This window comes from Homo sapiens, chromosome 2 (genome assembly GCF_000001405.40).
Source record: "Homo sapiens chromosome 2, GRCh38.p14 Primary Assembly".
Taxonomy (NCBI): domain Eukaryota; kingdom Metazoa; phylum Chordata; class Mammalia; order Primates; family Hominidae; genus Homo; species Homo sapiens.
The window spans coordinates 227,303,971-227,327,988 of NC_000002.12; the positions used below are offsets into that span (position 1 = coordinate 227,303,971).

Genomic DNA, 24,018 nt, shown 5'->3' on the forward strand with positions numbered 1-24,018 from the left:
TAACACATCCGTGAGGCCATCATCTTCTTCTTATGTTTATGTCAACAGGTGTACGTGGAGACCCTGGCACACTTAAGATTATCTCCCTTCCAGGAAGCCCAGGGCCACCTGGCACACCTGGAGAACCAGGGATGCAGGGAGAACCTGGGCCACCAGGGCCACCTGGAAACCTAGGTGTGGGACTGGCAGCATTGACTTGGATCACTAGGAAGTGGTTGAACCAAAATACCTGTAAACTGCTTTGGAAACAGCTGATACAACTTCACAGAAAATGTTGAACATGATAGTGGTTTTCACAATCAGTCTTAGGATTGAGCTCATTTTACCCTTGACCAGCAAATAAAAGACCTTGGAATCTATTGAAAGCAGTTGTTCATAGTATAACTTGAACAAATACACTTTAGGGCAGCATGTTTTTTTTATTATTTTTTATTAAGGTAAAGGTATGTCTATCTCCTCTGACAACTGTCAGTCTCGGGGCTCTATTTCTAAATGATTGTCTGAATATACCTGAGTTCTGTGAATTTATACTTTTCTAACATTTGGTACAGCAAAGTATTAGGAAAAAATGATTTAGAAATCTTTTCAAAATACTGGTGTTTGGAAATTGAACTAACCCCTCTACATATGCACAGCATATCGTAATAGGCTTCTGAATGGAATGATTATGCCTTAAGTTTGTCTGAATCACCTGGGAGATAAAGATATTACTTATTTGTTTGATCAATTCAGGGACATAGTGAATTCTGGAAGAACATAAATAAAAATTGCAGCACAATTTTAAACTGCTGCATTTAGTATCCTCATAGTTCATTTTCGAGAGTCTTATTTTCTGGGAAGTGGGGCTAACAAGTTAGGTGACTAATCATCCTAGCTTGCCCAGGACTGAGGATCTTCCCAGGATGCAGGACTTTCATTCCTGAAACTGAGAAAGTCCTGGGTTAACGGGATGGTTGGCCACCTTACTTTTCATCCTATATGATAAAATGCAATACAATGTTGGTTTTTGCCTAGGACCCTGTGGGCCAAGAGGTAAGCCAGGCAAGGATGGAAAACCAGGAACTCCTGGACCAGCTGGAGAAAAAGGCAACAAAGGTTCTAAAGGAGAGCCAGGTAAACCCCCAGCTTGTTTCCTCACCGAAGAAGTGCTATTTCGACATACAGAGAAGTCTTGTTCGAGTGGGTGACTATATGAGTTATCTAGGCCTTTGAGTTTATGTTGTTCAGATCAGACCAAAGGCCAAGGATCAAATGTTCATTTGGAAGATGAGAATCAAGAATTATTGGAACACAGTATTTTTCCGACCTCTTAGCTGGTCAGATGGGCTCCAAACTGATGCACAGTTTAGCCTGAGGACAAATAGAACTAATAAGTCCTATGGGTGTTCTTTCAAAAAGGCCAATACCTGTTTTTAATAACTTATAGGAGTTGTTAGTTAATAATTATTTATAGGAGCAGTACATAAGTATGTAGCTAGAAAAATATTACCTTGGTATGAGTAGAAGAGCAACTGAGTATCCTTTTTTAAGAAAGCCATCTTTTAAAAATGCCATTCTTCATGGTGGTGGGTGCCTGTAATCGCAGCTACTTGGGAGGCTGAGGCAGGAGAATCGCTTGAACCTGGGAGGTGGAGGTTGCAGGGAGCCAAGATCACACCACCGCACTCCAACCTGGGTGACAGACTCTGTCTCAAAAAAAAAAAAAAAAGCCATTCTTGAATAGAATTCAACAATTCATGCGTGTCCTGAAAAGGGAACTCTTAAGTATAGTGTTTTATTCTGAACATATGCTGTATGTGTCAGTTTGATACCTGGATCAACATCTACCTTCTGCAGATGTTTCAAAGCACTCTTCTGGAAACTACCTCGATATCCAAATCTTCTATTTTTAGGATTGCTGACTTTGTTAAAGCAAGAAAAAATTCTAAATGTGCTTTCTGAATTTACTGACATATATCATGCTCAGATCTACTATATTAAAATGGTAAAGACTATAGACTTAAATTTTTAAAAATTCAAATATGATGTTAATATAATACTAATTGCATAACTACATGTGATTTAATATTGTCATAGGTGCACAGTAGAGTGCTATTAATCATTCAACTTTCCTTAAAGTGTGGTTTTTGAAGTGATAAACCATTCTTATTAAGAATTCTATTAATTTAAAAATTTTAATGACCAAGGCTTTAATGCCCTAAGAATGGGGCAACAGCAAGAGCAAGGGCACTGCAATATAAATTTTGTAGAGAACTAATTAGCAAGTAGACAGTTCAATGCTATGGAGGCCTCACAAGAATGACAAAGGGATCTAAGAGTCAAACTGCACTGGCATAAACTGATAGCCCTGGCCCCTTTCTTGGAGATACAGAAATGCATTGGATATCACACATTTGTATAAAAGCTCACTTCCAGTTCCTGCCCTGCTCAGCTAATCACTTCCCAATTCCTGTGCAGAGATGAGGAGACATCTTTTGTTTGGGGCCAACTATAGCTCCCTCTGAATGAGGGCAGGGGTTAGGAAAAGAGAAAAATGTGTCTCCCCAATATATTAAAACCATGGCAACTTGGATTTTTCAAGTAAGACATCAGACCGGAGAATTTGGATGTGGCCTATTTTTAATTTCAAAAAACCACTCAAGGTCCCTGGAGGAGACAAGAGTGGGCAGAATTCAGAGAAAATTGAAAAAATGCATAATATTGGGGCTTTTACAAATTTCTGAGGAAAGTCCTGACTTCCGAGTCAGGACTAAACTGTGACCCTGCCTGACTCCCAGGGGCACGGATGTCCCAGGGGCAACAAAACTAATTCCTGTGATGATGTAGGCCCAAAGTCTAACCATCGCTGTTTTCTCTGTGATTCCTTAGGACCCTAGAGAACCATGGCCCAAGTCTGGTTGGGGAGGGAGTCAGCGTACAGTGGCAGCAGAAATGGATGGGAGTGAGGAAGTGGTAGCCAATGCCAATACCATAAATAATAGCCGTTCAATGAAAGAAAGGAGAAGGAAGTTAAAGAGGAATGGAAGAGAGGATAGCTCACTGGTTCTCATCTAGAACACGACAAGTGTGGATTAGCCTTGTCCAAATCCATACTCCAAAGTATAGAAAGTTTTTCTCCACAGAGAGAAAAATGTACAGAAACGATTTACTTTGTTTTTAACTCATATAAATAAACTAACCCTTATTACAGTGAAAAAAAAAGCCTTCTCTTCTTACTTGACTTACAAATTGATCAAAACTTCCTTGAAGTTTGAACCTTTAAAAAGAGCTTTCAATGTTTTCTGCAATTGTTTATTGTAGACAATGTTGCAATAATTTGTGAATTTATCAAAACCATAAGTAATTTTTGTTATCTACTCGAATAGACTAAGTTGTAGATATTTGATTTTTCCCCCATCACATTGTAGGAGGATTCATTCATTTATTCATAAAAAACATACATAAGACCTACCAGATGCAGGCAGGCCACTGTGCCAGGCCTCACAGAGGAATTCAAAGATAAAGACCTGATCTCAAAAAACGCATCAAATATACACAAACATTGATAAGAAGAGGCACTGTGTGATAAACTGCTTAACATTTAATAATACTGTTTGGCCATTTTTATAAGCCACTCTTCTCTAGGATTGCTTTCAATTTATGGGCTCAACATATATAAAATATATTTAAATTAGTACTTTGAAAAAACGAGTTTAAGATTTTTGTGTATGTTGCAACATTTAGAATGTGTTTTTTGAAGGACCAGCTGGATCAGATGGATTGCCAGGTTTGAAAGGAAAACGTGGAGACAGTGGATCACCTGCAACCTGGACAACGAGAGGCTTTGTCTTCACCCGACACAGTCAAACCACAGCAATTCCTTCATGTCCAGAGGGGACAGTGCCACTCTACAGTGGGTTTTCTTTTCTTTTTGTACAAGGAAATCAACGAGCCCACGGACAAGACCTTGGTAATGTCCCAGTCCCAGTTGCCAGTTGTGCTGTTCCACATGCAGATTGTAAATCTTTATAGCCTAGGATGCTTCCCTCTGAAGTTAAGTGTAAATAACCTTGAGTGTCTCCTGATACATTTTAAAGAGAGCAAATAAAACACTGGCCTGTCTAATTTTCATTCTGGAATGTAAAATGGTGGAAGGAGCCTAGCTCAGGAATGCTAGCCTAGCTCCTCCCATTCAGTGCAAACAATTTGCCCCTAAAACTCCCTAAACCACCTGTCTGCATTTATCTTTTTGGTGCTTTTTCTTTTTCTTTTTTCTTTTTCACACAGGGTCTCACTTTCATCACCCAGGCTGGAGTGCAGTGGTGCAATCATGGCTCACTGCAGCCTCCACATCCTAGGCTCAAGCCATCCTCCCACCTCAGACTCCCAAATGGCTGGGACTACAGGCACACACCACTATACCAAGCTAATTTTTTTGATTTTCAGTAGAGATGAGGTCTGGCTATGCTGTCAAGGTTTCTCTCAAACTCTTGAACTCAAGCAATCCTCCCTCCTCAGCCTCCCAAAGTGCTGGGATTACAGGCGTGAGCCACCATGCCCAGCCCACCCATTTGCTTTTCAATCTCACAAATAACTGCTTTTCTAAACCTTTATTTGGTTATTAGCTATTATGTACATATGAATAAGTGGGAATACTTTGAAGCAAAAACACTATCCCAACTGATCTATGCTAGCCCCCATGTTCTAAATCGATTAGAAAGAGCCACCGGAAGTATTAAAGGTGGGAGAAAGAAGATTTGTTTGCCTATTGGATCTTTGATTTCTATCAGTATGAAAACTTTTCAATACTACATTTTGCAGATAACTCTTTTGTGTTGTCTTTGTCCAGCTTTTGCTGCAGGTTACATTTAAATTAGCTTCTCTCTAGTAACGATGCTGAAAATAACTTTAACTTACTGAAAGTGATACTCAGTCTGATGTTTCATTAGGAACTCTTGGCAGCTGCCTGCAGCGATTTACCACAATGCCATTCTTATTCTGCAATGTCAATGATGTATGTAATTTTGCATCTCGAAATGATTATTCATACTGGCTGTCAACACCAGCTCTGATGCCAATGAACATGGCTCCCATTACTGGCAGAGCCCTTGAGCCTTATATAAGCAGGTAAAAATCCAATCCCCTAGTTTTACAATGGGACCAAGTGAATCACTTCCCTTGTAATGGAATGAAAGGCAGCACATGACAGTGCAGAAAGTGGCAATGCCGCCATAGTCTTTGTTTCATGTTACAGATGCACTGTTTGTGAAGGTCCTGCGATCGCCATAGCCGTTCACAGCCAAACCACTGACATTCCTCCATGTCCTCACGGCTGGATTTCTCTCTGGAAAGGATTTTCATTCATCATGGTGAGGAGAAAAGGAACAGGAGGTTTAGGGTAAAGACTACCTGTAGAATGTTACATTGTGCTGGGTAAAATGTGATTCCCAGGGTCGATGCTGCCTGCTGTCCGTGTGTGCAACATGCCATAGACATTTCCTTGAAAATCTACAAACAGACTTTTTTTTTTTACTTTTGGTAAATAATGGAGTACTAAAAAAGACTTCTCAGGAGGAGATTACCTACAAATTCTATTATGAAATTTAGGTGAATAGTAGCTGCGTTTTATTGATAATGGAATGTCTCTTTTTATTATTTTTTTTATCTTTTGAGACAGATTCTCGCTCTGTCACCCAGGCTGGAGTGCAGTGGAGTGATTTTGGCTCACTGCAACCTCCGCCTCCCAGGTTCAAGTGATTCTCCTGCCTCGGCCTGCTGAGTAGCTGAGATTGCAGGTCTGTGCTACCATGCCCAGCTAATTTTTGTATTTTTGGTTTTTTGTTTGTTTTGTTTTTTTAGTAGAGACTGGGTTTCACCATATTGCCCAGGCTGGTCTCAAACTCCTGACCTCCAGTGATCTGCCCAACTCAGCCTCCCAAAGTGCTGGGATTACAGGCATGAGTCACTGCACCCAGCCTGGAATGCCTATTTTTTATAAGATAACTGCTTTACATACATTCTCTGTAATTTTTATGAAAACGCTCATAGGTAATTTCTATCATTTACAGTTTTACAAATAAGAATGAAGTACTTTCCCCAGGGTCTTACAACTATTTAGTGGAAAAGCTAGGATCTGAACCCAGGTCTATCTGCTCCAAAATCTGTGCCCCTTTTGACATTCATATGGAGATAAAAGCAAAGAAAAATAGTCTTTTAAAGAAAAAGCTTTCAGATGTAAATGCTAGTGAAGAAGTTTATGGATTGGCCATGTGTGACTGTGATGACTGTCATAGCTGCACGCAGGTGGTTCTTTCTTTTTTCTTTTTCTTTGTCTCTTGAGACAGAATCTCCCTCTGTCGCCCAGGCTGGAGTGCAGTGGTGCAATCTTGGCTCACTGCAATCTCCACCTCCTGGCTCACTACAATCTCTGCCTTCTGGCTCACTGCAATCTCTGCCTCCAGGGTTCAAGCAATTCTCTTGCCTCAGCCTCCTGAGTAGCTTGGACTACAGGCACATGCCACCATGCCGGCTACTTTTTGTATTTTTAGTACAGACATGATTTCACTATGTTGGCCAGGCTGGCCTCAAACTCCTGACCTCAAGTGATCTGCCCACCTAGGCCTCCCAAAGAGCGAGCTGGGATTACAGGTGTGAGTCACTGCGCCTGGCCACATAGGTGGTTATTTCTAATCTGTAGCATCGCTCATGATCATTCCTCCCCTTTCTTTACTCACAGTTGCCCATTCATTCAAAAAAAAAAGTAGAGAATTGAAAATTTGAACCCCAATGGACAGAGTGTTTATTCAGATTTTTAAAATTGTGGTAGTTCACAAGTGCAGGTTCTGAGGGCACCGGGCAAGCACTGGCCTCCCCTGGCTCCTGCCTGGAAGAATTCCGAGCCAGCCCATTTCTAGAATGTCATGGAAGAGGAACGTGCAACTACTATTCAAATTCCTACAGTTTCTGGCTGGCTTCATTAAACCCAGAAAGAATGTTCAGGTAACTATTCACCATCAAGCTTAATCTGATGACTCAATTGCAGAACTATTCAAAGGTTGCCTGTGTTCTTGGGTCAACGAGTAGCCATGATTTTGTACTACTGTGCCAATAAAGACAAAATATGGGTTTTGTCATCACTAAACACATTTAATATTTGTATATGAATTTATAGTAAATTACTTGATACAATCACAAAACGATCTCTCATCTGAATTTACTGTATTGAAAGACTTGTGAATAATGTGGATAATTTAAAGGGTGGGAGTAGTTTTTATTACCAAAAAGATGATCTATAAGTTTTCATCAAGGCCTATGTTTCTTTAATGCTGCTGAAATATGACTAAAATTATAAAATGCCACCATATATACCTTTTCAGAAATATACTTCTTCCATAAAGAGAAATAGTCCATTAATATAATAAATTTCTCTCCTTTTTTTTTTTTTTCTTGAGATGGAGTCTCGCTCTGTTGCCCAGGCTGGAGTGCAGTGGCGCGACCTGGGCTCACTAGAACCTCCACTTCCCAGGTTTAAGTGATTCTCCTGCCTCAGCCTCCCGAGTAGCTGGGATTACAGGCGTATGCCACGACACCCATCTCATTTTTGTATTTTTAGTAGAGATTGGGTTTCACCATGTTGGCCGCTGGTCTGAAACTCCTGACCTCAATTTATCCTCCCACCTCAGCCTCCCAAATTGCTGGGATTACAGGCGTGAGCCACCACGCCCGACCCTGTAATAAATTTCAAAATAGCAAAAATATTCATTAATAAAACAAACTCAGCAAAAATTCCCTTTTATGCATAAATAAATGAATTTTTTTGGTTTGTTTTTATTTCAGAAAGCCTATTCCATCAACTGTGAAAGCTGGGGAATTAGAAAAAATAATAAGTCGCTGTCAGGTGTGCATGAAGAAAAGACACTGAAGCTAAAAAAGACAGCAGAACTGCTATTTTTCATCCTAAAGAACAAAGTAATGACAGAACATGCTGTTATTTAGGTATTTTTCTTTAACCAAACAATATTGCTCCATGATGACTTAGTACAAAGTTTCAATTTGTTTCCCCACAAAACAAAGCAATTCTTTCAAGTCAGTTCTGTGATCTGGGTCTCTAATCTGTGCTGTTTCAAAGTTCTCTGTGGCAAAGCAGCAACTATTCACAAAATATCACCAAAAACCTATTCCACTTACATCCAAGGCACTGTCACTACGGTGATTGTATGAAGTTTGAATGCTGCAAGTTATGAAATATTTGGCCCGCTGGATTCCCACATTTGTCTTCTTTCTGTCTTTAAGACTCAGGGAGGCTAAATCAGTGTTTGATTGCCCCGCCAACCCTTCCTGAAACTTCAGACCCTGGGTAGGGGAAGAGAAGGGGGCATGTGGTATCCTGGAGCATTGTGTATAGAACTGGATTTTCAGACCTGCTGAGGACCGTAAGGCCTGATGGAACACAGAACTGAACTGAGGTTCATGGATTTTCCAGGACTGTTTCAAACATGCCCATTACTAACGGCAAAAGGGGGATTCCCTGATGGAACCATAATACCCTTGGAAATACTGTATGGTTTTGTTTTGTTTTGTTGGTTTTTAAAGATTTTTGTTTGTTTATTGAATTCATTTCACTGTAGCTCTAAAATCTGCTTGTATTCCAAGCATATAAAATTTTCCCCCTTAGTGAATTAGTTTTAAAATGATATTGTTATATACATACTATGAAATATGTATAACTTTAACTTCTGTTTTACCAGCATACCCACACAAATAACAAGAATACTACTTATGAAATGTGCACTTTATCCTCATTCCATAAATGTCGGTGCATACCTTATGTAAGGGAGCAGTTCAATAATCCATGAAAGAACTTAAGGCATTTGTTGGTTTATCAGACTCGGAATCTATTTTCTCATTGCTCTGAATATGTCATCACTCTAGGTTTTACAGATTTATTCCTTTGTTACTTCTCTAATTCTTCCTTTGTAAAAAAAAAAAAAAGCAACACTTTTTATGTTATATGTTGTTCTTACAAACCATACTGAAAGAGTCCATTGTTTAAAAATCTTAATGTATCAAACTGTATAACTTGGCCGCTGTATGTCTTAAAACCTGCTTTTCAATGTGTTGATACATTCCCAAGGTTACTTAATTCAACTTAACTATCATCTTATTCAGCACCAAGCATGTCCCAGGCACTGTACTAACCTACAGAGATGCTAAGAGAAAAAAAAGACTTGTTTCTGATCTAATATCCCAGAAAAAGTAACTCATTGCTCTGTTAATAATCTCACATATACAAGTAGCTTCCCTCCCCTCTAGTTTTTTCTTCCTTTTCACTGCTGTTATATTTCATCATGATAATTCAGCAGGCCCAAGTAAAGGTTAAAAATAAGGTCTATGCCTAGGGAAACTCAGGGCTTCTAGTTTCTCTTAGAAAAGCTAAGAGAAGATAAGGTCTGAATAATAGCAGAAAAACCAACATCTACAAAACATTAAACTAGTGTTATACTTGATGATAACACTATTTGATGAGTCTTAGAGTCCAGACACAAAGAGACAAAGCTTTGAAGATGCTTTTTGATCTACCTAGGTGGAGTTGGTGGTGCTGATATTTAAATTCAGGCTACTGCTTCAATCTCAATTGCTTTGTAAGTGAAAAACATGACCCAGAGGACAGCACAGACTATGGCCATGGCTCACATGGTTTACATCCTTCACTGCTCACGTGTTTGCTGTCAAGCCATTTTTACATCTAAACTAAGATGTGCAGCATTTCACTTATTTAGATTCACTTAACAAACAAATTTTTCTGCTTTAAAAATGTCTTATTGTCCCAAGTGTACTATAGCGGCATATAGAGCTAGCTAATCTCTACAAACCCTCTGTAGGCCAGTAGTTCTCAAAGTGTGGTCTCTGGAAGAGCAGTATCAGCATCATCTGGGAACTTGTCACAGATGCAGATTCTAGGGACCACTCCAGACCTACACAATCAGAAACTCTTGGGGGAGGGCCCGAAATATCTATGTTTTACCAAGCCCACCACATGATTCTGATGTACTCTAAATACTGAGAAAACCTGTTCTAGACAAATACCCAAGCAACAACTCCGCAGGCAGTTACCAAGTACGGCTGGCTACAACTGCTCCATCCGTGCCTCTTTTTAAAGTTCAAACTCACAGGTGACTCTAAGGTTATCTACTTTTACTCATAAGTAAAAGCCCTAGACTGGTGCTAATGTCAAACCACTGGCCTCCACTCAGGCCTCCATCTTCTCATGCCCTCTTACCAGTATTTAACTTCTGAGGAAGACAAGTGATGCTAAAACCTGAAATTCCAATGAAGCCATATGAACAGCTGTTCAGTTGCACTTCTAAGACTTTACTTAGCAGTAAATTATAGCTCATGTGCATTATTTTCCAGATAACTTAGCTTATGAGTAGCTTATACAATTATGAAGATTTAATATTACAGATAAAATGTAAACTGTTTCTTTAAAATTGGGGCTTCAACTTTGGAATTTCACAGCGTGCTAAAATAACAGATTTCTCAGAAGTCTTTCAGCAAGATAAACATTATTAAGTAACTTATTTATGAAAGTATTAAAATGCTTACATTTGAACTTGATGGCTAACTTACAAAGATTCTCTATGTATCAAATGTAACTTACTGCGACTAAACTTAATTTAATATTTACTCTATAACCAAATGAAATATATTTAAAATATATTGAATATTTTATATTGTTATATCCTGACAAGATTATAATATTTTAATGTACTAATATTTCTGTAATTATATCTAAAATATTATTTTATTATATTGCCTAAGAATAAACATTTGTTAAATTGGAGCTGGTCCTTTTTTTTCAAAATGGAAATAAATTTTTTTTGGATTGTAAGAATAACAGATGTTCACTGTAAAAAGAATAGACAATACAGAAGTTATGAAGAAGAATATAAAAATGGCCATGATCTAATCCTCACTCCCATCCAAGATAAGTGATAAATCTATTTTTAAACAAAAATGAGATAAAAGTATGCTATTTTGTCACCAGGATTTTTTTTTTTTTTTGAGACAGAGTCTCACTTTGTCGCCCAGGCTGGAGTGCAGTGGCATGATCTTGGCTCACTGCAACCTCTGCTTCCCGGGTTCACGCCATTCTCCTGCCTCAGCCTCCCAAGTAGCTGGGACTACAGGCGCCCACCACCATGCCTCGCTAACTTTTTGTATTTTCAGTAGAGACGGGGTTTCACTGTGTTAGCCAGGATGGTCTCAATCTCCTGACCTTGTGATCCACCCGCCTCGGCCTCCCAAAGTGCTGGGATTACAGGCGTGAGCCACCACACCCGGCCTTTTTTGTCACCAGGTTTTTAAAAACTTAATACATAGTGGGCACATTTTCACACCAACAGACAAGAATTAATCATCATTTGCACCACAGTTCATTGCATGGGTTTATAACCTAAGATAATAAATCCCCAATTGACAGACATTTAATTTAGTTATATTATAGACATATTGTACCTATGTCACCACAAGTTTGTCCAATTATTTCTTCAAGATAAATCTCTAGAAGGAACACTATAGAGTCAAAGGTCTCACATAATCTTTTTATATACAAAAATGCTCTCCAGAAAGGTTGCTAGAATTTTCAGCTGCGTCAACCATGTAATGAAAACACTCATTTCCCTATTAATTTACCAATACAGACTATTGCTGTTATTTTACATCTTTGCCTATCTCATTGCAGTGAGGCAGAATATTTGTCACTTTTAATTAGTGTTTTTTTTTTAATCAAAGAAGTATTTTGATGACTGCCTGTTTTCCTGTGAAGGGCCTAATCATATCTTTGCTTATTTTTCTATTGAGGTATTAAAGGAGTCTTTACAAATCAGTAAAAAAAGCATATAGATTACAGAAATTATGGGTCATATATTTTGATACATGTTTCCCATTTATAATACAAATACTCCTTATTCAAGGAAAACAATTCATAAAATTTCAGATGTGGAGAGTTGGTAAAGAAAAAGGTTTTTAAGATGCAAAATATAGGCTGGGCATGGTGGCTTGTGGCTGTAATCCCAGCACTTTGGGAGGCCTAGGTGAATGGGTCACTTGAGGTCATGAGTTCAAGACCAGCCTGGCCAATATGGTGAAACCCCATCTCTACTAAAAATACAAAAATTAGCTGGGCATGGTGGCAGACACTGTAATCCCAGCTACTTGGGAGGCTGAGGCAGAGGAATCGCTTGAACCCGGGAGGCAAAGGCTGCAGTGAGCCAAGGTCGCGCCACTGCACTCCAGCCTGGGCAACAGAGACTCTGTCTTAAAATACATATACATGCAAAATATGAAATATCATAGAGAAGGAACTTTCAGGCTGCATTAAATGGCAATAATGATATAATCAAGGGAAGAAATGGAATGAATAGTGATCCGAGGTAATAATTCTAAGAAGACCAAGAAAATTGTTGCTCGCATAAATACTTCAGAAACACTGTCACCTATTGTCATAGGTGGGCCAAAAAAAATCTAATTTGAAAAGACTTTGAGTAAAAAAGTACTAATCCCTTTCAATGAACTTACTTTTACTTCGAGTAAGTCAAAGAATGAATGCTGTGTTTGAGCACATTCTCTATTTATAAGCTCGTTTGGAAAGAAAAATTTTGATTAAGCCCTAATGGATTCTTAGTAATCTATTGGCAGGAGACTGACAAAAAAGTGATTGCCTCCTTCAGTTTGTGCCATTGGCATCTAACTCATCTCACCCTAATCCCAGCTCTACCTATTAGAAATTAACAGATAAGCAAACACAGAGGAAAATGTAATTGGTTTTTAACAACCAGGCTAAACTTAAATATTTAGATAAATATGATCCTTCCTAGGATTTTGCAGACTCCATGCTTTTTCTAAAAATACTGACTGCTCAAAACCTTTTTAGAATGATTGCTTTGGAATTATAATATCTTCAATTCCAATTTTTGAGCCAAACAAGGAGCTAGGTCTCATTATTTTATATCCAAGACCTACAACATGCTTGGCTTGTTGTAGACCTACAATATGTTTGGCTCCACAGCATATACTTAGATGAGTGAGACACAGACCTTGGTCTCAAGCATAGAGTTTACAATCTGGTAGGGGAAAATAAGACAAATACATGGATAACTTTAATACTAGACAGAACATGATTAAGTGCTCTAAGGGACAACAAATACTGGTTCAAAAGTTGGAGGCCTCAGGAAAGAATTCATAAAAAGAGGGGATATTTTCAGTGGTCCTTTAAGGGCAGTTAGGATTTCAAGAAGCAGAAGATGGTCAGAAGCAGGGTGGCATTCCACGTGGCAGAAATAGCATGGATGAAGCTAAGTAGTTAGGAAAAGATGAGGCAATCTCAGGGAACAATTAATGGCCAAGAATATATGATATATATTTATATACATACAGAGTGGTAAATAAAGAAGCATGGCAGGAGGTTAAGACCATGTTGGGCAGGGTTTAGAATACCAGGTTGAACTTGTACTTCATTGATTGCTACTAGAGATTCAGTGAAGATTGTGAGCAAAAGAGTGGAATTACCATATAACCAATAACCTGGAAGATCCAATATTTAATATATGGTACTTGCTAGGCTATTTCATAGTTTCAAAATTTTAAAAAAATTACTGGATTGCAGTTATGAACTTTTGAATTGGAAGATAACTATAAATCATCAATTTTCTTTGAAACTGGGGCTTCATATTTGAGATGCCACAATTTATAAACATCGGTTCTACGTAGACCCAATGTCTAGGAATTGGAGAAATAAAAATACTAGGGATGAGGAGGCCAGTTAAAAGGATAACAGCCCAGATGATGGGTGATCATCTAGGAGTAGGAAAAGAATGGATAAAGCAGAAAGCTGGCATTGAAGAGGGACAATCTAAAGGATGAAGGATACTAGGGAAAATAAACCATTTTACCAAGAAGACATATGTTCATCACAGCACTATTCACAATAGCAAAGAAAGGGAATCAACCAAAGTGCCCATCAATGGTGGATTAAAGAAACTGTGGTACATACACACCATGGAATACTACACAGCCATAAAAAAGGAAGAAATGATGTCCTTTGCAGCAACATTGATGCAGGTGGACCATTATCCTAAGTGAATTAACACAAATGCAGAAAACCAAACACCACATGTTCTCACTTAGAAGTGGGAGCTAAGCATTGGGTACACATGGACATAAAGATGGCAACAACAGACACTAGGAACTACTAGACGTGGGCGAGAGGGATGGGGGCAAGTGCTGAGAAACTACCTAGTGGGTCCTATGCTCACTATCTGAGTGACAAGAACATTCATACCCTAAACCTCAGCATCACACAATATACCCATGTAACAAACCTGCACATTTACCCCTTGAATCTAAAATAAAAGTTGAATTAAAAAAAAAAAAAAGAAAGGATGGTGTGGCCGGGTGTGGTGGCTCACGCCTGTGATCCCAGCACTTTGGGAGGCCAATGCGGGTGGATCACCTGAGGTCAGGAGTCCAAGACCAGGCTGGCCAACATGGCGAAACCCCATCTCTATTAAAAATACACACACACACACACATACACACACACACACACAAAATTAGCTGGGTGTGGTGGTGGGTGCCTGTAATCCCAGCTACTCAGGAGGCTGAGGCAGGAGAATTGCTTGAACCCACGAGGCAGAGGCGATCACTCTGTTGCACTCCAGCCTGGGTGACAAAAGTGAAACTCTGTCTCGAAAAAAAAAAGGTATGTGTGGAAAGAAAGATAGATAGATCTATGAGAAGGGATACTAGCTTATGCAATTGAGGAGGCTGAAACTTCCCACAATATGTTATCCACAAGCTGGAGAACCAGGAAAACTGGTAGCATGGCTGAGTTCAAATTTGAAGGCCTGAGAAGGTGGGCACCACTTGTGCAAGTCCTAGAGTTCAAAGACTGGAGAATCTGGATATCTCATGTTCAAGGGCAAGAGAAGTGTCCCAGCTCCAGAAGAGAAAGAGCAAATTTGTCTTGCCTCTGCCTTTTCGTTCTACACGGGCCCTCAGCTGATTGGATGGTGCCTGCCCACATTGGTAAGGGCAGATCTTCCTTACTCAACCCCCTGATTAAAATGTCAGTCTCTTCCAGCAACACCCTCACAGGCATACCCAGAAATAAAGCTTTACCAACTATCCGGGTACCCTTTAATACAGTCAAGTTGACACCTAAATTTGACCATCACATGGGACTTGGGTGACAGTGAAAGATAACTTTGGTACTTTGAACCCTGATGACTGGGGAGATAACTTGGCCATTAACTGAAAAAAAGGAATTCAGAAGATGGTATCTGGAGCGAGAAGAGTGGAAAAAATCTGAGTTGGAAACCCTGCTGGGATCAAAGCTCCAATGGGACACTTAAGTAGAACTGGCTAGAACCAGTGCAACAGGGTAAGACTAGATGGATGAGATAACTTAGATTTATATATCACCCTTTCCAACAAAAGATTTGAGGCAACCATGGTTGCAAAAATAGTCAATGATGGATTAAATCATAAGACAGGAATCTCCACATTAATGTTGCAAAAAGAAATATATATTACAATGAATATACTAAATATAAATATATATTACACAAAATGAGGGAGTAGAGTTCCCACATAAGGAAGAGAAAATGCCTTTGCTCTGAGAATCGTCTACTAGACAGTGTTAGGTACTTTGAGACACACTGTCTCATTTAATTTAACAAAAAACAAATGATGCAGGAAGATAAAGGACAATGAGGTTTATGGAAGAAGACATCGTGTTTGGTAATTGGATCACAATCTTTATTTGAAAGTTATTTCAAAATGTTTTTCTTTGAGGGGAGTACAGGATTAAAAGCCAAATTGTAAGTAATTAAGAAGTGGAAAGGTTAGTGAAGCAGGAGGAACATCATTTCTAAAGGTTTTAAAGGTTACGATTATAGATTGGTGCAAAAGTAATTGTGGTTTTTCCCATTGACAGTAATGGCAAACTGCAATTACCTTTGCACTGTTGATGAAAAAAGTCAAACTCCATAAAATATTTTTAGAGATTTATTCTGAGCCAAATATGAGTGACCATGGCCCGTGACACAGCCTTCAGGAGGTCCTGAGAACATGTGCCCAAGGTGGTCGGGGAGCAGCTTGGCTTTACATATTTTAAGGAGGCATGAGACATCAATCAAATACATTTAAGAAATATACTGGTTTGGTTCAGAAAGGCGGGACAATTCAAAGTAGGGGCTTCTGGGCTATAGGTAAATTTAAACATTTTCTGGTTGACAATTGGTTGAGTTTATCTGAAGACCTGGGACCCACAGAAAGGAACTGTTCAGGTTAAGATAAAGGACTGTGGAGACCCAGTTTTATTGTGCAGAGGAAGCTCTCAGCAGGACTTTAGAGAGACAGTAGGTTGTAAAATTTTGTTTCTTATCGGAACTAAATGGGTGCCTGGCTCTTAGCTGATTATCTCCTAGATCTGGAAAGGAAGTGAGAGGTGACAACGTGTTAGCAGCCCTCGCTCACTCTCAGCTCCTCCTCGGCCTCGGCGTCCGCTCAGGCCATGCTTGAAGAGCCCTTCAGCCTGCCGCTGCACTGTGGGAGCCCCTCTTTGGGCTGGTCGAGGCCAGAGCCGGCTCTCTCAGCTTGCAGGGAGGTGTGGGGGGAGAGGCGCAGGCAGGAACCAGGGCTGTGTGCAGTGCTCGCAGGCCAGCACGCGTTCCGTGTGGGTGCGGGCTTGGCAGGCCCCACGCTCAAAGTGGCCGGCCAGCACCGCTGGCCCCAGGCAGTGAGGGGCTTAGCACTCAGGCCAGCAGCTGCAGAGGGTGCGCCGGGTCCCCCAGCACTACCAGCCCACCTGCGCCACGCTTGGATTCTCACCGGGCCTCAGCCACCTCCCCACGGGGCAGGGCTCAGGACCTGCAGCTCACCATGCCCGAGCCACCCCCACCATGGGCTCCCTCACAGCCTGAGCCTCCCTGATGGGCACCGCCCCCTGCTCCACGGCGCCTGGTCCCATCGACCGCACAAGAGCTGAGGTGTGCATGTGCGCAGCACGGGACTGGAGGGCAGCTCTGCCCACAGCCCCAGCACAGGATCCACTAGGCAAAGCCAACTGGACTCTAGAGTCAGGTGGGGTCTTGGAGAACTTTTATGTCTAGCTGGAAGATTGTATATGCACCAATCAGCACTCTGTGTCTAGGTCGGGGTTTGTGGATGCACCAATCAGCACTCTGTATCTAGCTAATCTGGTGGGGACTTGGAGAACTTTTACGTCTAGCTAGAGGATTGTAAATGCACCAATCAGCACTCTGTGTCTAGCTCAAGGTTTGTAAACACACCAATCAGTGCTCTGTGTGTAGCTAAAGGTTTGTAAACGCACCAATCAGTGCTCTGTGTCTAGCTAATCCAGTGGGGACTTGGAGAACTTTTATGTCTAGCTAGACGATTGTAGATGCATCAATCAGCACTCTGTCTCTAGCTAAAGGTTTGTAAACATACCAATCAGTGCTCTGTGTCTAGCTAATCTAGTGGGGACTTGGAGAACTTTTATGTCTAGCTAGAGGATTGTAAATGCATCAATCAGCACTCTCTGTCTAGCTAAATGTTTGTAAACGCAACAATCAGTGCTCTGTGTCTAGTAATCTGGTGGGGACTTGGAGAACTTTTATGTCTAGCTGGAGGATTGTAAATGCACCAATCAGCACTCTGTGTCTAGCTCAGGGATTGTAAATGCACCAATCAGCACCCTGTCAAAATGGACCAATCAGCTTTCTGTAAAATGGACCAATCAGCTCTCTGTAAAATGGACCAATCAGCAGGATGTGGGTGGGGGCCAGATAAAGGAATAAAAGCAGGCTGACTGGGCCAGCAGCAGCAACCTGCTGGGGTCCCCTTTCATGTTGTAGAAGCTTTGTTCTTTTGCTCTTTGCAATAAATCTTGCTGCTGCTCACTCTTTGGGTCCACGCTGCCTTTATGAGCTGTAACACTCACCGCGAAGGTCTGCAGCTTCACTCCTGAAGCCAGCAAGACCACAAACCCACCAGGAGGGACAAATAACTCTGGACAGGAGGAATGAACAACTCCAGATGTGCTGCCTTTAAGAGCTGTAACAGTCACCGCAAAGGTCTGCAGCTCCACTCCTGAAGCCAGCAAGACCATGAGCCCACCAGAAGGAAGAAACTCCGGACACATCTGAACATCTGAAGAAACAAACTCCGGACACATGACACACCATCTTTAAGAACTGTAAGACTCACCGCAAGTATTCGCAGCTTCATTCTTGAAGTCGGCGAGACCAAGAACCCACCAATTCCGGACACAGAAGGAAGGAAAACAAAGGGGAAAGCAGATTCTCTACAGAATGTGGATTTTTCCCATAAGAGACTTTGCAGGACAATTTCAAGGTAGGGCAAGGAAAGATATTTTTGGGTAAAATATTTTTATTTTCTTCCTTATTATGCCAGAGTCAGATTGGAAAGTAAGTCATGATATACACGGTTAAATAAAACCCATCTGATGTGCATTTATGGTTTGGAGAACATGACTCCCCAAACCCCTTAGATAGGAATTTGAGCAAGATAAAAAAATCAGAGCTTAGTCCTCAGAACCAACCTAATGCATGATCTCCCAACTTGATCTCTATCTTCCCACAAAAGATTGACTTGGAATGACTTATTATTCCTAAAAATCAATCTATTCTTAAAGGCTTATTTGTCTCTGTAGGGTAGTTGTTAAGAGTTAAAGAAAGAAGAGAGAAACACAAAAAGTGGCTCAACAATCAAGGATAGGTTTATTTTAGAGAATAAACCTGAGAGGGGCTTCTGGCCAATTTTGGTCAGGAGCACTCTCTCTTACAGACTAAGAGTATTTAAGGGTTTAGGGTGAGAGAGCTTATCACAGGCTTGGAATATTTCTGCTTGGAGGAGAAGTTTATTACAGGGTTGGAATGTCTCTGGTTGGAGGGGAGGGGTTATCTTGGGGCTGACATCGCTCCGGTCAGAGGGAAGGTTATCTTGGGGCTGACATCGCTCGGTCAGAGGGAAGGTTATCTTGGGGCTGGCATGTGTCTGGTGGGAGAGGGGTTTATCTTAGAGTTAGAATGTTTCTGGTCGGAGGTGTCATTTGTGGTTTGTGGTCATGCTGACAGCCATTAGGCTGATGCCCTCTGGGTTGGATTTAGGTGGTTTTTGATCAAGGGGCACTTTAAAATGGCAGTGCTTCTGCTCTGTCAATAGTAGGATATGCCAACCCAAAATATGGCACTTTGGCATAAAGATTATTTTCGAGTCAAAGGCACTTAAAAAAAAAATGCAAAAAGAGCACTGTGGCTTTCCTTTTTCCTTCCTGAAAGCAGGAGATAAAACTTCCGTATGAAAGGTGCCCTCCCTGTATAAGGAGGAAGGGAGATGTTCTCAACACCAGAGACATGGAGTCAAAGCTGAGCTGTATCTGCACAAACTTACCGATTTTCATTTCCACTTTGTTACAACAACCTTTATCTTCTTAGTCACTTCTGCATTAACTGCACTAACCCAAATCTGTTTGTTTTCTCACATTTTCACAATTTACTACTCTTTTTAGCCTTCCCTAGAAAAATGGAGACTCAAAAGCACTTAGGGTCCAACTGTTAATTTGGGTCTCCATTTTTCTAGGGAAGGCTCCAATGTAAATGTAAAAATTACTAAATAAAATTTGTATGCTTTCCTCCTGTTATGTTTTATGTCTCTATTTTACGTCAGTGGAGACTAAGCTCTGATTTTTTTTTTAATCTTGCTCAAATTCCTATCTAAGGGGCCTAGGGATTCATGCCCTACAATCCATAAATTCTCATCAGATGGGTTTTATTTAACCCTATATATTGTGACTTACTTTCCAATCTGACACTGGCATAACGAGACAAGAAACAAAATCAAAATATTTTACCGCAAAACATTTTTTTTAGTTTTTGACATATCTTGAAACGGCTCTGCAAAGCTGTCCTTTGTTGGGGGAAAATCTGCATCTACATAGAATTTCTATTAACATAGCTAGATCATTTTCTTCCAGGTCCTCCCAATCCTAAAGAGATTACGTAAGAATCTAGCACCTTTTAAAGATCTGAATAGGAAACATTTGTCATCCATTGTCTCTAAGGGCAGCCACTATAAGACTTCAAAAGAACCTTGGTCTCCACAATCTTTTATTTTAACCTCAACATTTCCTTTCTATGGGTCCCAGGTCTTCAACTGTCAACCAGAAAATGTTTAAATTTACCTACAGCCTTGGAAGCCCCTGCTTTGAGTTGTCCCACCTTTCTGAACCAAACCAATGTAGTTCTTAAATTTATTTGATTGATGTCTCATGCCTCCCTAAAATACATAAAACCAAGCTGCGCCCCAACCACCTTGGACACATGTTCTCAGGACCTCCTGAGGGCTCTGTCACGGGCCATGGTCACTCACATTTGGCTCAGAATAAATCTCTTCAAATATTTTAGAGTTTGACTCTTTTCCTCATCAGTTTAATTCTTAGGCCCAGCCAAGACCCCAAGAGGGGAGAGGAAATATTTTCACTTTCCCTACACCAGTGTTAAGAAGCCCAAGAACGCAATTCAGAGGGCTTCCCAAATCATTTTGAAGAATGGTAACATCTCTAGAATATCAATTAGATCGTAGGGGAGTACATAAGTCATGTGTACACCTTTAGGTGTTTGTGAAAACCAAGGCATATAAAATATCACATTATTTGGCCTCAGTACATTCCCATACTGACAAGCACTGTACCATTTTTCCCCCGCTCTAAGCAAGGGCTTCCTGGGGGGAAGAGTCTGTGGTTGGGTGTTCAGAAGCAGAGAGTGCTCTCCCAAAGCTAAACGATGCCGCCAACTACTGTGAAACTTAACTTCCCCTCTCCCGGAATTCTCATGGAAGACAAGGTCTGATCAACCGAGGGCTTAAGAAGTATCAAATTGGAACTCATGGAATCACTGGCGGAGCTGATTTACATATGAGAATTCCTAAGCCTCACAGCATAGAAATTTTCATGCCAGATGGTCCTGAAAAAGTTGTTTTAATTGGCTACCAAAGGTTTACCTTGCAAACACCAAGTTCTTAAAGATTACAAAATCTAATAAAGCCGAAGTGTGAATTAAACTTAACCGCAAGAGGAGTCACCTGCGGTCACCTCGTTTCGCCCACAACAAAGATGTCTGCGCATCGCTTACCGTGGAGCCGTTCCAGTGCGTGGGCCACGCGTCCGCCCTTTTCCGCGTCACATGACCACGAACACTCTTCCGCTACGGCTCCCAGAAGGGGCCAGCCCGCGCCTTTCGCGCTTCTGCCCTGGCCCTCTGCGGGCCGCTCCGCCGGTGCTGTCCCTGGGCGCCTCCGTGCTCTCAGCCAACCACCTCTGAGAGCGCCCACTCGAGCGCCCCGGGAGCCAGAGGGCGGGGGTCCTCGCCGGGACCCTCCTGTGGGCCCAGGGGTGAGTGTTGACGTCTTCCCGACCCGCGACCTGCCGCCCGAGCTGGCTGCCAGGCCTATCGCCGCCGCCGAGACCCTCCGGCCAACAGGGACCCGCGGTGGCCCCGGCCCCCCCGGTAGTGTCTCCCTGACCCGAGTCCCGTCCCCGGGCCTCTTGCCTTCAACCCTGGTCTTTCCTCCTCCCCGGGACCTTGAGTCCCCGAGGAGAGCGAGGGAGAGGAGCGTCTTCTGCAGGTGTTTTTGGGCGAACCTCTTCACCTTGTGTGGTTCGGCGTCTCCTTTTGTGTATTAACCCGGACTTTTCCGACTGGAAAATAGGGGTTTGGGAAGCAGCGGGAGTCCCGTGAGCGTGAACGCCGGGCTTTGCAGGTCTTCACTCATCCTTCCCTGCCAAGGCCCTGACACCTTACAGGCTGACCTTAAACCTGCCTTGTTTAAAAGGAGGTTTTTGTGTTGTTTTGTGGCAAGTACATTTTGGAAAAGAAGGGCCTTGTTGGAAGCCCAGGTTGTGGCATCGCGGGTGGCTGCGGGCCACCCTGTCCGTCTGTGAGCATCCCTGCTCGCAGATGTGGCTGCAGGCAGTTGCTCTCGGGTTTCCTTCCAGGAGCTGGGAAGCCGGAGGAAAGCTGCGGTTCCTGTTCCGCCGAGCTTCTGACCTTCCTCTGCAGGACGTGTGCTACTATTACTATCGTAAAAGAACACCCCTGTCTACCTCCCACAAAGTTAGAAGCAAAGGGCATTCTCGAGGGAAGAGCACCCTTTCAAAAGTGACATGTTTTCATTGGAGAACATTAAAGGGGAAAAAAAAAAAAAAGGTTTCTGGCCCTTCTGCCCAAATATAGAACCATTTGTATTCAGGCCTCTCATCCACCGAGAGACTTAAGATGATCACAAATGTTTTGTCTCCCTGCGTGAAAAACATTTTTTCTGCCTCAATTCCGTTGGCTAATGAGAGCCCAAAAGAAAAACCCTTAGGAAAATTAGGACGATTTAGTTATACTTAGTAGTCTTTTCCCATGCAATTAAATTGCTTGGGGGACCTTCTATCTTTTGGTTTCAAAGGCTTGTATATTGGTTTTGCCATTTTTTCCAAAAGGAAATTGTGTTCTCTCCCTTCCTGTCTGATAGAGCTGCCTCCTTTCAGAATTGCAAAGTTTAGTCTTCGCTCTCCTCTCTTCTGGTATTGAAACTTTTCTGTGGGTTCATAACCTTATTTTAAAGTTCATTAATATATAGTTTTAAAAGTTTGCAGTGACTTTTTAAATATAGTTTCTTTGAAAAAGAACTGAAACAGGGTGTGCAGAGTGGCCCATCTGTGTGAACTAGGTCCACGCAGTAGGTAATAAACAACTGGAGGGTTTTTTTTGGTTTGTTTTTGTTTGTTTGTATGTTTGTTTTTGAAAAGTACATAAACATTTGCAACCACAGTCAGTTTGACTCAAGTTGTTTCGGTGACTTCCGAGGCTTTCTGGGTTCCAGTGTTCTAATACAGAAAATGAGAAAGTTGGGCTGGAATCATTGTGTCCCAAAATTGGTACACTTTCCGCTAGTGGCATGTGACTTGACTCTAGGCGGTACGTGGATGAGGATTTTTTTGTAATAGGATGTTTTTGCAATCTGTATTTATATATGTACAGCCATGGTTTAAGGTAGTGATACAAAATTTTCTTTTACAATACTTTTTTGATTTTAAAAAGTCGAGTTAAAAAAATTAACTGTAGCAAAAAGTTAATGTACTCTGTGAATATGGGAAAAAAAAAACCCATGAAGTTGGCAAGTTAGTTACTGGTGTTTGGGAACCACTGGGCTTAGAAAGTAGAAATATGAAATCATCTGTGATTCTAAGAGAGATTTTGCCTCGTTTGTTATGTAACAGAATCACGTACTGGTTGCCTACTGGATTCTAAGGTACAAAACTTCTGGAATTAACATATCAACACCAAATGAGACGTTTATTTATTGCCAAAAGATATTATCAGAAATGCCACAGTCTAACGAGGGAGAAAAAAAATCAGATTTTGATTGGTTTTAAGCAGAAAACCCAATAATTGGGATAATACAGTGTTAAATCTTAGTAGAAATCCAGTTACTTTTTAAATGTAAGTAGTTCAGCTACAGGAGAACTTGGCTTTTTCCAGAAGTTGGCATTTCAGCATCCACCTTTATTTTCTAAGTCACTAGTTTTTTACAAACTCAGATATTCTCGTAAGAAAAGATGTTGCTATAGAATGGAATATAGTAGTGAGACCTATGAGATGTACTACTAGAAAGTTCGTAAGACTGAAATGCAATGAATGGAATGCAGAGAAAGCACATTTCAAGGAGATACTGAGGTTCTAGCCACTTGGTTCTCGTTTATTATTATAAAACTTCAATTTATAATGGCCAAAGGCTATAATCTTTTTGAGGTAGCTTTTTTCAGTGTTAGTTCTGAATATGAGCTTTTGCTATGCTTGAGATACACGCAAGTATTAGAAGAGCATCTCATCTGGAATGATGCACAAAAATTGATTATAAAGGTTGCCTGTGGGAACCTGGGTGGTTAAGGATAGGATTGAAAGT

General features: G+C 41.1%; 2 protein-coding genes and 1 long non-coding RNA gene across 24 annotated transcripts in view, besides 3 other annotated features; 2 read left to right on the forward strand and 1 right to left on the reverse strand.

Annotated features, from left to right (window-relative positions):
* COL4A3 (collagen type IV alpha 3 chain) overlaps positions 1 to 10,822 on the forward strand; it is a 150,169-nt gene extending 139,347 nt beyond the window's left edge. For 2 of the 4 annotated variants that reach the window (NM_000091.5, XM_005246277.4), the window contains 7 exons: positions 49 to 174; positions 1,015 to 1,113; positions 3,740 to 3,949; positions 4,929 to 5,106; positions 5,234 to 5,348; positions 6,806 to 6,978; positions 7,816 to 10,822. In NM_000091.5, the coding sequence (NP_000082.2) occupies positions 49 to 174; positions 1,015 to 1,113; positions 3,740 to 3,949; positions 4,929 to 5,106; positions 5,234 to 5,348; positions 6,806 to 6,978; positions 7,816 to 7,900 (986 nt within the window). In that variant the 3' untranslated portion in view covers positions 7,901 to 10,822. Of the gene's footprint in view, positions 1 to 48; positions 175 to 1,014; positions 1,114 to 3,739; positions 3,950 to 4,928; positions 5,107 to 5,233; positions 5,349 to 6,805; positions 6,979 to 7,815 lie in introns of those variants that run through there. The other 2 variants (XM_011510555.2, XM_047443224.1) reach the window with 2 other exon arrangements.
* MFF-DT (MFF divergent transcript) overlaps positions 1 to 21,194 on the reverse strand; it is a 104,113-nt gene extending 82,919 nt beyond the window's left edge. The window contains exons 1-2 of the long non-coding RNA NR_102371.1: positions 21,148 to 21,194; positions 1,490 to 1,685 (exon numbers count right to left, since the gene is read on the reverse strand). This is a non-coding gene — a long non-coding RNA (MFF divergent transcript). The remainder of the gene's footprint in view (positions 1 to 1,489; positions 1,686 to 21,147) is intronic.
* Positions 16,836 to 17,364: an enhancer, noted in NCBI's record as "H3K27ac-H3K4me1 hESC enhancer chr2:228185522-228186050 (GRCh37/hg19 assembly coordinates)". NCBI's record gives its function as "activates a minimal SCP1, AML or CMV promoter by ChIP-STARR-seq in naive H9 embryonic stem cells {active_cell/tissue: H9 hESC(naive)}" and the evidence as "EXISTENCE:reporter gene assay evidence [ECO:0000049][PMID:30033119]".
* Positions 21,103 to 21,152: an enhancer, noted in NCBI's record as "active region_17198". NCBI's record gives its function as "activates an Ori minimal core promoter by ATAC-STARR-seq in GM12878 lymphoblastoid cells {active_cell/tissue: GM12878}" and the evidence as "EXISTENCE:reporter gene assay evidence [ECO:0000049][PMID:35858748]".
* Positions 21,281 to 24,018, forward strand: part of MFF (mitochondrial fission factor) — a 32,586-nt gene continuing 29,848 nt past the window's right edge. For 8 of the 19 annotated variants that reach the window (NR_102266.2, XM_006712637.3, NM_001277061.2 and 5 more), the window contains exon 1: positions 21,281 to 21,457. The gene's annotated coding sequence lies outside the window, so the exon portion shown is untranslated. Of the gene's footprint in view, positions 21,573 to 23,541; positions 23,556 to 24,018 lie in introns of those variants that run through there. The other 11 variants (XM_011511500.2, XM_047445127.1, XM_047445131.1 and 8 more) reach the window with 6 other exon arrangements.
* Positions 21,333 to 21,622: a silencer, noted in NCBI's record as "silent region_12398". NCBI's record gives its function as "represses an Ori minimal core promoter by ATAC-STARR-seq in GM12878 lymphoblastoid cells {active_cell/tissue: GM12878}" and the evidence as "EXISTENCE:reporter gene assay evidence [ECO:0000049][PMID:35858748]".